General features: G+C 41.7%; 1 protein-coding gene across 25 annotated transcripts in view; it reads left to right on the forward strand.

Annotated features, from left to right (window-relative positions):
- STAMBP (STAM binding protein) overlaps positions 1-16,438 on the forward strand; it is a 44,696-nt gene extending 28,258 nt beyond the window's left edge. For 10 of the 25 annotated variants that reach the window (NM_001353974.2, NM_213622.4, NM_001353975.2 and 7 more), the window contains 3 exons: positions 2,036-2,148; positions 2,834-2,933; positions 4,985-9,950. In NM_001353974.2, the coding sequence (NP_001340903.1) occupies positions 2,036-2,148; positions 2,834-2,933; positions 4,985-5,041 (270 nt within the window). In that variant the 3' untranslated portion in view covers positions 5,042-9,950. Of the gene's footprint in view, positions 1-2,035; positions 2,149-2,833; positions 2,934-3,315; positions 3,372-4,984; positions 9,957-12,924; positions 13,135-14,736; positions 15,200-16,133 lie in introns of those variants that run through there. The other 15 variants (XM_047442961.1, XM_047442963.1, XM_047442962.1 and 12 more) reach the window with 7 other exon arrangements.

Genomic DNA, 16,651 nt, shown 5'->3' on the forward strand with positions numbered 1-16,651 from the left:
CTGTTTAATGGCCCGATGTCTTGATGCCTTCTCGCATCAAGGCTCTGCGCCTACAGTCCTTCATCCAACCAGGAATTCCAGAACCCATCAGGTACCCTAGATCTTCTGAACCAGTGGGATCAGAGTCCCCGTTTTGAGTAGTACAGAGAAGAAAGTTCCCCCTTTGTGTTTACCTCCCTTTTTGTCTGCCTACTCCAGTTCCCCCTTCCCCCTGAGTGCTCAAGCTGCCTAACATCTTCCACTGCCTTCAAACAAGGGAAGCCAGAAAGTTCCAAGCCTCTTCGTCCACAGTTTACTTTTGTCCAGTACAGCCTTGGTGACCTCTGGGAGCTCTCTCCCTGAGAAGGTTGTCTGAGTGAATTAGATGAAATGTGGTGGGTGGGTTATTTGGTATGTCATCTATAACCATGAGCTAGGACGGCATGCGCTTGCCTGGGCTTAATGCTGTTACTTTCCATTAGAAAAAGATCACCTTATCATTCATCAGACACTCTACAGAATCTCAGAATTATGGTTCTGCACAATGTAAGTGAGGGCATACATCCACCTACCCAGGAACTGAAGTGGAATCTCCCCCACCCCACTTGTGGCATCTCCCCACGATTGCTCTTCAGACAAATCCTCATCTGTTTAGTTGTCATTCTGCTGGGGACAATGCAATCTAAGTTATTTCATTTAGTTATTTTCATCCCCTTCCCCTCTCTCATTGTATCCTTCACCACAGACAGCTCTTCCAGTTTCCAATAATTGTTTATACTCCTTATTTCTTTTTCTTTTTTTTTGAGATGGAGTCTCGCTCTGTCACCCAGGCTGGAGTGCAGTGGCGCGATCTCGGCTCACTGCAAGCTCCACCTCCCGGGTTCATGCTCTTCTCCTGCCTCAACCTCCTAAGTAGCTGGGACTACAGGCGCGTGCCACCACGCCTGGCTAATTGTTTTGTATTTTTTTTTTTTTTTTTTTTTTTTTTAGTAGAGACAGGGTTTCACCATGTTAGCCAGGATGGTCTTGATCTCCTGACCTCATGATCTGCCTGCCTCAGCCTCCCGAATAGCTGAGATTACAGGTGCCCGCCACCACGCCCAGCCAACTTTTGTATTTTTAAGAGAGATGTGGTTTCACCATGTTGGCCAGGCTGGTCTCAAACTCCTGACCTCAAATGATCTGCCCTCCTCAGCCTCCCAAAGTGCTGGGGGTTACGGACATAAGCCTCCATGCCCAGCCTGTTTTTGTTTTTTCTTTTTTTAATTGACAAATAACAATAGTCTATATGTTTTGAAATATGTATGCATATATTGTGGAATGGGAAAATCAAGCTAATTAGCATATGCATTATGTCACATACTTTTTTGTGGTGAGAACACTTGAAATCTACTCTCTTAAGCAGTTTTCAAGTGTATAATACATTGTGATGAACAGTAGTCACCATGTTGTATAGTAAGTCTCTTGAACTTAAAAAAGGAAAGAAATTATGAGTCTCTTCACATACTGGTATTAAGCAATATTTGTTTACAGTGCTGGAAAGGAGCTTCCTTACTTATTAGGAACCTCAGGTGGACCTCTCATGGTTGCAGATGGCTTCTCACTTACAAAGGAGATTGTGACCAGCTGTTGAGAACTGTTTGGCTTTACTTCCTTCAGAGACCAGACTTGGTTGTATGTCAGAGTAGTCCCCCCCTTATCCTCAGGGGATATGAGCCCAGACCCCCCAATGGATGCCTGAAATCACAGATAGTACCAAACCCTATATATGCTATGTTTTTTTCCTATACATGCATACTTGCGATAAAGTTTAATTTATAAATTAGGCACAGGAAGAGATTAACAACAACTATAATAAAACAGAACAGTTATAAAAATACAGTGTAATAAAAGTTATGTGAAGATGATCTCTCTTTCTCAAAGTATGTTATCGTATGTAATATTTTCAGATTGCAGTTGATATGGATAGCTTTAAACCTCAGAAAGGGAATCGCAAATAAGGAGGGATTACCATATATCCTCGCTAAGAGTCCTCTGACTCTTTTTCTCTCCTCAGACTCACCCCACACAGACCGCGTTTCTCTCCAGTGTCGACCTACACACTCACTGCTCTTACCAGATGATGTTGCCAGAGTCAGTAGCCATTGTTTGCTCCCCCAAGTTCCAGGAGTGAGTATAGAGGGCATGGTTCTGGGTGTTTCAAGGGGGTAGTAGGGAAGAAAGCCTCAGGGGAAAAGGTCTCTATTCTTGTGGACTTGTCCTTTGTAAAATACATAGATTATAATGTAAGTTGGTTATTCTAAAGGGCTTCCTTTTAAGCCCCATATCATGATTTATCTATCATGCTTGTTCAAAAAGATATCCAAGTAACAACTTAGTTGCTTTTCTAAGAAAAGTCTACAAGAAATTTGAAGTGTTTGACTTGAAGCGATAGGAATGTCAAGAGTTTTATGTTGGATTAGAAAGTTTCAAAATCATAAAATATAAAAAAATAAAAAATAAAAAATAAAAAAATATAATAAAAAAATAAAAATAAAAAATAAGAAAGTTTCAAAATCAAACACATTATCTCAGAATGCACTTCTTTTTCATACCAAATCCTGTCTCTACTCCCACTTTGATTATTTACTATGAATTCTCCAGCAAAACTAGTGTGATGGCAGTAATGAGTCATTCTCTAACTGTGATTCATTCACCAGAGAAGAGACCTGTGAGGCAGCATCCTACAGAAGCTGTCTCACAATGACCTCTGCCCTGCTGTGTGAGTGTGCATGCTGGTGTGTGTGTGCGTGCATATGTTTGGGATGGAGGGACACCTTTGCTTGACTCTTAGCCTGCCTTTTTTAAATTTCAGAACTGGATTCTTTAAACTAACTGACCATGGACTAGAGGAGATTTCTTCCTGTCGCCAGAAAGGATTTCATCCACACAGCAAGGATCCACCTCTGTTCTGTGTACGTATCTATGTAAAAGAAAATGGGGCTATGCTTCAAGCAGGGAGGACAGTCAGAGCTGATGAAATGCATCATCCTTTCTGATCCACACAGAAGACCAGCTTTGTCACTTACCTTGCCAGATCTCCATAATAAGGACGTACATGAGAAGCAGTGTGGGACAGGAATAGATTTGAATCTTAGCTTTGCCACTGTGTGCCTTTGATTGGGCTACTTACCGTTCCTGGGCCTCAGTTTTCCCATCTATAAAATAGGCATAATAATAACACCTACTTTATAGGGTTCTTGAGATGATTAAATGAAGTAATGTGCAGGAAGTACGTAATGCAGTTGCTGGCTTATTAAATGTTACTTTTTCCTTTCATCAATGTCTCTTTCTAAGCCTGTACTTCAATAAGAGATTTGAAGGCAAAGGAAAAGAGAAGCCACTTCAGATAGGTAAATTAAGTATATTTGTAGAATTTTGCTTAAATCATAGGGGCTTTACGACCTTCCTACAAAGTTCTTTTTTCCCTATGTTGTGGTCTGTGAATAAAAAGTTTAGTTGATGATAAGATCAGTATGTTTCCATTTGCCCCTGCAAGCTGATTTGATGGTGTTGCATTACTCCATGCTGGCCATGGAGTATTATTTCTTTTGGGTTCAGAGAAAAGTGAGCAATATGGAAAAGGGACTAAGAACCTTGACACTTAAAAGGACCTGGAGATGCTTAGAAGAGAAACCCCAGGAAGGATCTGAGAGCTGATTTCAAGTGTTAGAAGAGTTGAAGTATAAAAAAAGGGATTGGGTATATTTCACGTCACTCCTAGCACTAAAACAAAGACTTCATGGAATGATGGTTTTCTGCTGAGCGTGAGGAAGAACTTTCTGACAAATCTGTTCAAAAATAGATCAGTCTGCCTTGGAATGTCTAAGTACTAGGATGTTGAAACAAAGACTACACAATCAGAAAAAAAGGTCTGGGGCACCAGTGCCCATGTTTTCAGTTATAAAGGCCCCTGTTGCATGCCAAAAGGGAGCATTCTTCTCTCACCATGTGACAGTAGGTATACTTTATTATTTGGGTGACATCATAGCTAAAAAAACTGTGATGAATTCAGTAATTCTTTTAAATTAATATATATTTTAGGGATGACACTATTTGTTCCCAAGTTTAGGAATCAAAGAATGAGTCTAGAATGTATATACATTTTAAAAATAAACAAAGGTAAATGGGCAAACACTGATTCCATCTACAGGTGGGACTGGTGGTAGTAATGAGTCCCAGACTCTTACCACAACTACCACTTAAATAGCAGTCTGGCTTCCAGACTGAGAACCACTAGCCTAGAATGAACATTTTAAATAAGGGTTTTTTTGTTTTTGTTTTTGTTTTTGTTTTTGTTTGAAACAGAGTCTCGCTCTGTTGCCGGGCTGGAGTGCAGTGGTATGATCTCAGCTCACTGCAGCCTCTGCCCCCCAGGTTCAAACAATTCTGCTGCCTCAGCCTCTCGAGTAGCTGGGACTACAGGTGCGCGCCGCCACACCGGGTTAAATTTTTTTTTTTTTTTTTTTTTTAGTAGGGTCAGGGTTTCACCATGTTGGCCAGGATGGTCTTGATCTCCTAACCTCATGATCTGCCCACCTTGGCCTCCCAAAGTGCTGGGATTACAAGCGTGAGCCACCGCACCCAGCCAAAAAGTGGTTTTTTAAAATGACTTTTCAGGCCGGGCACGGTGGCTCACGCCTATAATCCCAATACTTTGGGAGACTGAGGCAGGCAGATTACTTGAGGTCAGGAGTTCAAGTCCAGGCTGACCAACATGGCGAAACCCCACCTCTACTAAAAACACAAAATTAGCCAGGCATGGTGGCTCGTGCCTGTAATCCCAGCTACTGGGAAAGCTAAGGCAGAAGAATCGCTTGAACCCAGGAGGCGGGGGTTGCAGTGAGCCGAGATCGTGCCACTGCACTCCAGCCTGGGCAACAGAGCAAGACCCTATATGAAGAAAAAAAAAAAAAAGACTTTTCAGAATTTTCTAGGACTCCACCTTTCTTTTTTCCTATTGCAGAGCTGCAGCCACGTGACTGTTGTGGACAGAGCAGTGACCATCACAGACCTTCGATGAGCGTTTGAGTCCAACACCTTCCAAGAACAACAAAACCATATCAGTGTACTGTAGCCCCTTAATTTAAGCTTTCTAGAAAGCTTTGGAAGTTTTTGTAGATAGTAGAAAGGGGGGCATCACCTGAGAAAGAGCTGATTTTGTATTTCAGGTTTGAAAAGAAATAACTGAACATATTTTTTAGGCAAGTCAGAAAGAGAACATGGTCACCCAAAAGCAACTGTAACTCAGAAATTAAGTTACTCAGAAATTAAGTAGCTCAGAAATTAAGAAAGAATGGTATAATGAACCCCCATATACCCTTCCTTCTGGATTCACCAATTGTTAACATTTTTTTCCTCTCAGCTATCCTTCTAATTTCTCTCTAATTTCAATTTGTTTATATTTACCTCTGGGCTCAATAAGGGCATCTGTGCAGAAATTTGGAAGCCATTTAGAAAATCTTTTGGATTTTCCTGTGGTTTATGGCAATATGAATGGAGCTTATTACTGGGGTGAGGGACAGCTTACTCCATTTGACCAGATTGTTTGGCTAACACATCCCGAAGAATGATTTTGTCAGGAATTATTGTTATTTAATAAATATTTCAGGATATTTTTCCTCTACAATAAAGTAACAATTAACTTATGTTTTTGTGCTTCAGAGTGATCCATTTGATCAAGCATTGTATAAACAGGTTAAAAAAAAGGTATGGTTGTTTTGGAAAGGTGAAGGAAAAATGGAATTTGAGATATACTGACACTGATGGTGTGTCCCAGTTCACTTTTAATTACTCCTTGTTTTTTATCTGCCTGTTGCCATCTTCCAGAGGTGTTGTGAAGTCATCTCTGTTCTTTTGGTGCTGTCTCAAATGGGTCAACCATTCACTTCCTCCTTATGCCCTCCATGCTTTTGGCTGAGGATAATGAAGCCTTTGTTTGGAGTACCAGGTTACACTCCAATAAATGATTACATTTCCCAGCCACCCCACCCTACCAATTTCATTGTGTTGGCTGTTCTTTTCTGACTAAGGCAATACCTAGGAAAACGCTTGAAGCAGCAATTGTTACTGCAATTTTCTGTGAGCTGAGCCTGGTGTTCTAGGTGGCCTAGAAATAATGGTGTCATTTGTGACACCTCGAGTGAGGGCAGGAGAGTAAATACTTTGGCTAGGAGAAGAGTGATTTATTCTTTATCAGAATTCTAGGTGGGGGAGGGAGAATCTGTGAATGCATAAAGTTTTCTTCATTTTTAAATTTTGTCTCAGTCTTTATTGCTTAGGTTAGTGGTCCTTGAACTTGTCCCCTGAAAGAGCCCAGTTCTCTATATTCTTTTTCTTCTCTTGGGTTCTTAATTCCCCATATAGTGGAAATTCCTTCTTTGCTGTTTTGGTATGGGTGGGTCTGGGGGCCAGCTGGGCTTGGACAAGCCATTTCCTGCTGCAGCCCAGAGCAGCCTGGCTGTTCCACCTTGCTCTAAACAGTCCTGAAATTGCCCAGTCCTCTGCTTTTGGGAAATCCATCCCCTTCTTCCCATTCTTTGTCTACCACTTAGCTTAGGGCTTTCTTACCTTTTATTTCGACTGTAGCCGTTGGCTTTTACCAAGTCTCTTTGTTTTTAGCATTTCTTCATTCCAGTCTGTTCTGCACACTTTGATCAGGAGAAGCTTCTCACATTCCAGCCATGTTCATGTTTTCTCTCTTGCTCAAAAACCTGCAATAGCTTCCCATTGCTGAAAATCTAAATTTAGCTTTTAGTCAGAACTTTCCACTTAAAGTTCTTACCCCTGGCTATATATTCAAATATCTAGGGAGCAATTTAAAAAATACTGATGCCTGTGTTCTACCCCCCACCAATTAAAGCTGAATCTCTAGGGTGGAGCCTCAGATGTTGTTTCTGCATTTGTCTTTCAAGCTGCTAGAATTCTCAAGTACAACCAGGGTTGACAACCACTGCATTGGTCTTTGATACCTAAGAATTGTGAGCTCTCTTATCCGTCTCTGCCCACCAAAGACATTCAGCCAGGTCAACAACATATCATACGTTGCAACCACATTGATCACAGACTGATCACCAAACTGCTATATTTTCTTTTCTCTTCCTCTAGGCACAAGATATCTTAGTGGCTAGATGGGTGCAGGAAATCAGTCTGTAGATCCCTCTTCATATCTGCTGCAGCCTAGCCACTGCAGAGGCACTCTGCATAGGATGGTCTAAGTGTCTCTGTCTTCATCTTACCTCTGTGGAGGAGACGTGGAATCAAGCCAGCCCACAAGCCCTGAGACTGGATAGGCCGGAGAGAAAGAGGAGTAGCCAGAGCGGTCGGGAAAAGAGGAAAGGAATACTGTGGGTAAAAGGGACAAAGACCACGCAACCTGAGGAAAGACATTGTATTGAAAGGGTAATGACTATTTGGCTAAAGGGACTGACTCCTGGGTTCCCGAGGCTCAAAGACCAGGAGACTTTTCCACTCTTGCAAGCTGCACAAGTACCATACTTAGTGTTCTGGGCTGAGAGGGGAGACAAAAGCATCGTCAGGTTGCCAAACAATGTCCCAGTTGCCCTGGGAGGCACAAACCTACCAAAGTGCCATAGGCCAGGTGCAGAGAGAATCAGAGGAGCTGATTTGCTTGGGGTCAGAGCAGAGCTGGGTTTTTTCAGATGATCACTTTCACATACTCCTTGTTAAATGGGACCAAAGGGGAAGAAGAAGAAACCCTTAAGCTTTTGTAATATTGTCTTGGGTACCAGATACCATAAAAGGCAGCATGAGAGAAACATTCCCTTGGGCCAGTGTCATGGTGGATTTTCTTGCTTGAGAGGCAAGGATTTCAGCTTTCATTTGGTACCACAGAATTTAAAATTGTAAGTGCCTATCCCTTTTGACTGTTGATGGCTTCTTTGGGGTTTTAGTTACCCCAGTTGAAAGAGAAATTTTTCATATTGGGGTTGAGAAGAATGGAGGCTATTAGGAGCAAAGCTTTAATGAGTGAAAGTCTGGTGAATCCTGCAATTTTGATATGTTTCCAGTGGATTTTGAGAACACAGTTTTAGGACCAGAGTAGATGTTGTTCCCTAGAAAATAGAGTCAGCTATTGATATTGTGCCTCCCATCCCTCATATCTCAGTGTTTTAACCCCACCTGAGTTTGGAGACCAGTTTGTCCAAGGATCTTTCAAACATGTGAGCCCAGAGTAGAACTTCTGAGTCAAGGATCATGTCTTTTTCTGAGGAGCTTTGCTTGGGGCACTGGAAATCCTGTTTAGATCAGGACTATTGGAATATTATCCTCTCCAGGGGAAGTGCCAGGTTGAACATTTAAGGCTTTGCTTCTAGGCCCAGCTATACATTCACCAGCAAATCACTTAACTTCCTAAATTTCTTTAAAATCTGTAAAATGGGATCAGTCTAATATGCCTACCTCAAATGATGACAGAATGACATCTATATGCATATGAGGCCTACGTTAGTTGAAAGATGCTATAAAGATATAAGGGATTTGTTACTTGTCTTTCTTGAAATGTTACAGTTGGGGTGCGGTTGCTTCTATCTTCTGGACCTCTGCCCATTCAGCATACAGCTAGAGGAATCTTTGGGCAGATCCACATTCTTTAGCACTAGCTAGGCTTTGACTCCAAAGCTATCTGGTCTACCTTGATGTTCTGAGCAGGAAAACTGAGGACCTCAAGAACCATTCCAAATTTCTACTCATTCTCCCTAAGACCCAGAGCAGACCCAGGACCTAAAGAAATTACATCATCTCTATTTTCCCTTGGCTCCAGCCCACTCTTGTTTGAACCTCCCACTTTTGTTGTTCCAACTACTTCTTGAGATGAAGGAAGGGCAGAACATTGGCCCTCTTCACTGAAGTCTTCACCCCTTAATCCAGGGTTCAATTTTTAGTTCACCTTAGCCTGTTTGAGATTAGAAGCTGGGCCTTAACTTACAGGTGTGTCCGGCATCATTCAATCAGCCTGTTAGATCCAGAATCCAGCACTGTGACGCTACATAACCATGGGCTCTGTCCTTCCAGTTCCTTTAGTGCCTTCCCTCACTGGTAGGTTCACTCTGAGGGCTTCCTTCCTTGAACTCCAGTGGCAACTATAGTCTGTTTCCCACAATTTGTTGTGTGTGTTTTTTGTTGTTTTGCAGCGTTTTCATATTGTCTTTTATGTAAGTCATGTTTCTGAACTATCGTATAAATTTCATTAGGGTAAGAATCATGTTTGCTTTATGCACTGTGTAACATGCCTTGCAGTCAGTATAGGCACTTAACCTTATTGATCAGTTGTTCCTTGGTGTTGAATAATGTGTTAGGTAGCCAGGTGGACCTGTGTCCTAGCCTGGAGAAGCTCTATGTCACCTTGTAGGAAGCCATCTGAATTTGACTCAGCATCATATGCTGGGCCTGTGCTGCACTTGAGCTTTCTTTCCAGCCGCCAGGAGGGATGGTTGTCCTGGCCAACAGCGAATTTAATGGGTGGTCAAAAGAAGATGTGCCTGCATAGAAGGCTGAAAGAGGGAGCTGGAAGTAGGAGGAGACAAGGAGATAGTGACACCAGTATCTTGTCACAGAAATCAAGGAAGGCAACAGTTTAAAGGAGGGGAGGGAGATCAGTGGTGCCAACTGGCTCAGAAGAGGTTTGCTGGGTTAAATCTCAAGATGAGCCCATGAGATCTGGTGGTTAGCAGAGGCCTTTCCTGACAACCCCATTTTAAGCACCTCTTCCCCATCACTCTATCTCATCACTGTTACTGTCTGTGTAGCCCTGTCATGAGCTAAAATCATCCTGTTTGTTTATTGCTAGCTTATGTGTCTAAAGTATACTCCTTGAGAACAGCAACTTTGTCTTTTTCACCTTTGTACTGAGTCCCCTGACATGGAATAAGATATGAATAAATGCACAGACTTGTCCAAAATCATCCAATTAATAAATGGTAAGGCTTTGCTTTTTTGGGAGAAGTGCAACAAATGTGAGCACATTTTAAATATTGATGTTTAAAGATTGTGAAAATTAAAAATTAACAATCAGCCGGGCATGGTGGCTCATGCCTGTCATCCCAGCAGGAGGCCAAGGCGGGTGGATCACCTGAGGTCAGGAGTTTGAGACCAGCCTGATCAACATGGAGAAACCCTGTCTCTACTAAAAATACAAAATTAGCCAGATGTGGTGGCACATGCCTGTAATCCCAGCTACTTGGGAGGCTAAGGCATGAGAATCGCTTGAACCTGGGAAGTGGAGGTTGTGGTGAGCCAAGATCACGCCATTGCACTCCAGCCTGGGCAACGAGCGAAACTCCGTCTAAAAAAATAAATAAATAACAATAATAGAAGGTTACCTCTAGAAGAAAGGCAAATGAGAAAAACTACATATATAATCATTCATCTTTTATTTAGAGATGAACGATAATACAATATCACAAATTAAAATTTCTGTAATTTCTACAAATTATACAGAGAAGGAAATTTAGAACTCTAAATGCTTTCATTATTTAAGAAGAAAGAATCAAAAGATATGAATTAAGCATCGGACTCAAATTAGAAAAAGAATAATAAAATATACTAGGAAACCAGGGGGAAAGAAATAAGTACTAAAGCAGAAATTGGCCAGGTGCGGTGGCTTACGCCTGTAATCCCAGCACTTTAGGAGGCCGAGGCGGGTGGATCACCTGAGGTCAGGAGTTCAAGACCAGCGTGACAAACATGGAGAAACCCCATCTTTACTAAAAATACAAAATTAGCCGGCTGTGGTGGCACACGCCTGTAATCCCAGCTACTTGGGAGGCTGAGGCAGGAGAATCGTTTGAGCTCAGGAGGCGGAGGTTGTGGTGAGCCGAGATCACGCCATTGCGCTCCAGCCTGGGCAACAAGAGCAAAACTCTGTCTCAAAAAAAAAAAAAAAACCCAGAAATTAAGTAAATGACATAAGTCATTTTTATGAGCACAATCTCATAAATTGTGTACACACACACACACTTCACATCAAAATCAATAATATAGATGCAAAAATTCTAAATAGAACACTAAAAAAATCATCAATCTAGTAAAGGAATAAAGTATCCTAACTGCCAGCATGTATTATGCATCCTCATGTAGGACTTGCCCATGATTCCACTGCTAGAAAGTGATGAGTCGGATGGCAGCCCAGGTCTACCTGACTCTGAGAGCCCTGAGGCGTTTGGTGATTTTTGTCCCTAGAATGTAATGGTGACCTCATTAAAAGAAATCCACTGATATAATATATCACAGGAGTAGGTCAAAGGAAACAAGCAGAAACAAGAGTCTCTCATAAAAAAAAATTTTTTTAAGATGAAAATCAACATTTATTTTTTATTTTTTAAACTCCCCTAGTAAGGAAAGAAAGGGCCAGGCACAGTGGCATACATCTGTGATCCCAGCGCTTTGGGAGGCTGAGGTGGGCGGATCACTTAAGCCCAGGGATTCGAGACCAGCCTGGGCAACATAGTGAAACCCTGTCTCTACAAAAAACTAGCCAGGCATTGGTGCATGCCTGTGGTCCTAGCTACCCAGTAAGCTGAGGTGGGAGGATCACCTGAGCCCAGGGAGGTCAAGGCTATAGTGAGCTGTGATAGCGCCACTGCACTCCAGCCTGGACGAGGGTGAGAGAGGCCTTGACTCAAAAAAAGAAAAAAAAAGAAAGCAAGAAGCTTCGTTAACATGATAAAATAAATCTTCTAATATATAACACCCAGCGTCATACTTAATAAGCAAACACTGCTGTCAGGGACAAGATAGATCCATTCTAACTACTATTATTGAACAGTGTCCTGAAAGGATAATCTAACCAATGCAGTGAAGCAGGATAAAGAGTATACTACTGGAAAGCAGACAGGTTTGGGCTACAAGCTAAGTATCTACCTAGAAATCTGAAGATAATAAATTCTGAAAAATGGTCAGACCTATTAAGAGAAAGGCACAACGATGTTCACTAAAAGATACATTTTAAAACTTTGAAAATAGCTTTTCAGTACAGGTAATAGCCATTTGTGATTGGGGGAAAAAAAATCTAATTCAGCACATAGCAACTAAAAATATAAAATACTTTGGAACAAAGTTAACAGGAAATGTGCAAGCCTCATATGAAGAAAACCAGTAAGCTTTTCAGAGGAACATGAAGAAAATAAATGGAAAGACAGGCACACTATCGGTATTCTATGAGAGAAAGACAATGTTTTAATTTTAAAGATGCTACGTCTTCTTTAATCCAAAAATTTAAATGCAAGTCTGCTAAAAAGTATCATTTTTTAACTTGAAAGATTATTCTAAAATTAATCTGAGATATGTGAAATAACATTTAAAAATTGAAAGAAAAAAAGAATTTTGGGGGAAATTTATTACCAGATAATGCTTATTATAAACCTATGCTAAATGACGAGTTAATGGGTGCAGCACACCAACATGGCACATGTATACATATGGAACAAACCTGCACATTGTGCACATGTACCCTAAAACTTAAAGTATAATAATAATAAAACTTTAAAAAATAAAAATAAAAAATAAACCTATAAGTTAAAGTAATTTGATACTGACCGAGGACTAGATTAAGAATCAGCAAACTTTATTGTTGAAGGAAGTAAGACTTAGAAGAGTTTAAGTTGACCAAGGCCACAGAACTCCAAATGAATAGTGTCAGACTTTCAAACCCACACTCAACCACACTGTAATGCTGCCTTCCTAAAATATACATTAATACATGTATTCAGAAAAACTATGAATAAGAAGTACCTAAAAATATTAATATTAGTTATCTGTAGGTGATAGAATTATGGGATGACTGTTCATTTTTCCCCCATATCCTTTTTCGAATTTCTTCAAATGTACTACAAAGAACATGTATTGCTTTTATAATTGGACAAAAAGGACAATACCTTCTATTTTCAGAAACCGAAACTTCATTGCCCCTTCAATGTGGGAATCCAGCCAGACCCTATTCTTGGACAGCATCAGTGAAAGGGGCTTGGGAAAGCTCTTGGGCGTAGCAGCAGAGGCATGTCATATATGGAAACCTTCCATGAGGGTGACCTCACCACTGGAACCCGTTCAACATAAACCTTGCTGCAAGAACTAGCAGAGCTCTTTGGACAAAACGTGGTGAGTGGAGAGCTGAGAAAGAACTGACCTAAAGAAGAGAGAAGTGCTGGTCTTACAGCATGAAGAAGTCCTGGGTACCCATCTGGGCTTAGCAGGCCTCCTTTATGATCTATTCCTAGAGAAGGATTACTTTTCCCAACCTCAGCCTCCTTCAAAGAAGAACTCCCACCGTGGCCCAGGGTTATTTCTGTCTTTTTTTCTGGACTTGCGTTAGAATGTAGGATGTTTCTTGTGTTGGACAAATCATAATGGGTTATTGGTGGGTGACAGAAGTGAAAACATTACCTAGACTAAAGGAAGTAACACTATTCTTAGATATCCCTCCATAATTCCCTATGGTTAGCTTCCCTATCCCCAGCAGCCTCCTCTCTTCACCCCATTTTGCCTTCAAAAAAGTGAATGGCATCATATCAAAGCACAATTCCATCAAAATATTTCCATGCCACCTGCAGCACCAGGCCCTGTGCCACGTTGAACAGCTCTTAACACCCTGCTTGCCACACTTAGACACCTGTGTCTAGAACTTTTCTCACACAGCCTAGTATACACCTTTCCCATGTTGTAGGAGGGTTTAAATTTTATTTTATATTATTTTTAGTAGAGACGGGAGTCTCACTTTGTTGTCCAGGCTGGCCTTAAGCTCCTGGCCTCAAGCAATTCTCCCACCCCAGCCTTCCAAAGCGCTGGGATTACAGGTGTGAGCCACTGTGCCTTGGCCAAGAGTTTAAAATTATTTTTAATTGAACCATAGTAAATGCAGGATAAGTTTACACAAATATTTTGGTTCTCAGCCACAGTGTTGTTCTGTAAGCACAGGGCCTATGATTATGGCCTTTGAGACTTCAGCTGGCCTATGAGGAAACCACATAATGAAAATAGAACCCTGTTAGTTAAAATTCTTTTAATTGCGGCCGGGCGTGGTGGCTCATGCTTGTAATCCCAGCACTTTGGGAGGCTGAGGTGGGTGGATCACCAGAGATCAGGAGTTCAAGACCAGCCTGTCCAACATAGTGAAACCCCGTCTCTACGAAAAATACCAAAAAAAATTAGCCAGGCGTGGTGGTGGGTGCCTGCAATCCCAGCTACTCAGGAGGCTGAGACAGGAGAATCACTTGAACCCGGGAGGCAGAGGTTGCAGTGAGCCGAGATCGCATCACTACACTCCAGCCTGGGCAACAGAGTGAGACTCCGTCTCAAAAAAAAAAAAAAAAATTCTTTTAATTGCACTGACAGAAAACTCAATTAAAACTGGTGTTCAGGTACAGCTGGATCCAGTGTCCATTGTCATCAAGGCTAATTTTTTATTCATCTCTAGGCTCTTCTATGCTTAATGTTTGTTCATTTAATTGGGTTTTTCAATGAGGTAGCTTTGACAGCTAGAAGGTTATAGCCTATTGCCTTGGTAAACTCAGCAAGAAAAAAACTTTTTTTTTGAAACAGAGGCTCGCTGTGTCACCCAGGCTGGAGTGCAGTGGCGTGATCTCAGCTCACCGCAACCTCTACCTCCTGGGTTCAAGTGATTCTTCTGCCTCAGCCTCCTGAGCAGCTGGGATTACAGGCGCACACCACCATGCCTGGCTAATTTTTGTATTTTTTTTTTAGTATAGACGGGGTTTCACCATGTTGGCCAAGCTGGTCTCAAACTCCTGACCTCAAGGGATCCACCCGCCTAGACCTCCCAAAGTGCTGGGATTACAGACGTGAGCCACCTCATCTGGCCAAGAAAAAGAACTTTTTAGTTCAACAGTTTCAACACAATATTTGGAATTGAGATATTGGGTCATGGCTTTGGTCATGACTTCATCCTTGAACCAATCACTCTGACCAGGAGGATGGAATATTAGCCAGGCCTGGATCATGTACCCATAACCCATCTACGCCACATGCACTGAGAGTGGGGCAGCATTCATTTCCAAAGAAGAATGGTGGTGGCAGAAGGGGAAGTAGATGCTGGGCAGGCAAAGGCAACAGATGTCCACCATGCATGCCTAGAAGAAAAAAGTGCTGTTAGCTTTAGATAATAGCAGCTGGACGATGGGGTAGTGACCTTCTCACTCCCAAAAAGGTGGGTCGCACATCCAGGCTGTGGGTCATTCATTTAATTTGCATATATTGAGTACCTGCTGTGTGCAGAGCACTGTTCAAAGTACACAAGAAGTAGATGTTACGCTCTCTGTCCTCAAGGAGCAGATAAGTAAGATAAAGGAGCCCTACTCTCACAGTGCAAGAGCAATTCATGATCAATGAGTGTACGCAGAATCATGAGCACCAACTTTATCCCGAAGTGTTGAGGGAACCCAAGTGAGGGAGAAATGAATGTTCTCATTTTAATTTCTGTATCTTCCACTTTTATTCAACAAATATTTACTGTATGCCTACTAAATTCAAGTCCCACAGGACTCTAGAAACCTCGTAGAAAGGATTTCAGACAGATTCCTAGGATGTGTAAAATATGAGAAAGAGAAAATAAATTGAAAGTGGGGGAAGGATCTAGAAATCAAGTATGCAACAAAGTGAATTCAGGAATAAAGTAAAACACGTAAACCGTGATTACTTACATTCCTACCGTGGATGGGCCGTAGGATGTATGATGTAATAAATAATTTGCATAACAAACCCAACATCAGGTAGAGGGGTTCTGTTTTCCCATAGAAATGATGGAATCTCACTAAAGCACAAGATATGGTAAATGTAATTCTACTGGAACTGTGGTGAGTGTGGGGAAGGCAACATAGTCCAGCTGAGACACCGGGTTGTCTGCTAACTGGACCTAGCCTAGGGATGGATTTCATCACATCTGGGAGCTCAGGTGGACTGCATGCATTTTAAACAACTCTGGGTTGTTTTCTGCACTGACATTTTAATAAATATTTAGTGACAGTGAGCTCAGAATCGTATCTTTGGCAAGTGCCTGGGGTGCAGCTGCCATTCTTTATTGATGGCTGAGTAAGATATGAGGCGCTTAACTTTTAACTCATTTTTGTTTTGTTTTAACACAGCTCACCAAGATGGAGGAACAGAGCCCATGGCCCACTTACTACATGGATTCCCACTTTACAGTGGAGAAGGAGCTTGCAGTAACCACAAAAGTTTCTGTATAAGCAAATTTAGGGAATTGAACTTCAGACAGTGTGGTTGTCTCCTTACTTATGAACTTGGGAATACTTACTTAGGTAACAACTAACATCAGAGGTTTTTGATCTGTAGCCTTTCTTTCTGTCCATAATTAGCTAATAGCTTCTGCTGTACAAACACAAACCATTCCCTGTCCAAGAAAATTAAACTATATCATCAGAATAAGAAAGAATATTCCTTTTTCTTTTGTGTGAGTGTGGTTTTTGTTTTTCTGGGTTTTTTTAGCGGGGAGGGTTGTTTGTTTTTGAGGGAGGACTTGCTCTGTCACCCAGGCCGGAGTGCAGTGGCCCTATTATAGCTCACTGTAGCCTCAACCTCTTGGGCTCAAGTGATCCTCCCACCTCAGCCTCCCAAGTAGCTGGGACTAGAGATGTGCACCACC

This window comes from Homo sapiens, chromosome 2, assembly GCF_000001405.40.
Source record: "Homo sapiens chromosome 2, GRCh38.p14 Primary Assembly".
NCBI lineage: Eukaryota > Metazoa > Chordata > Mammalia > Primates > Hominidae > Homo > Homo sapiens.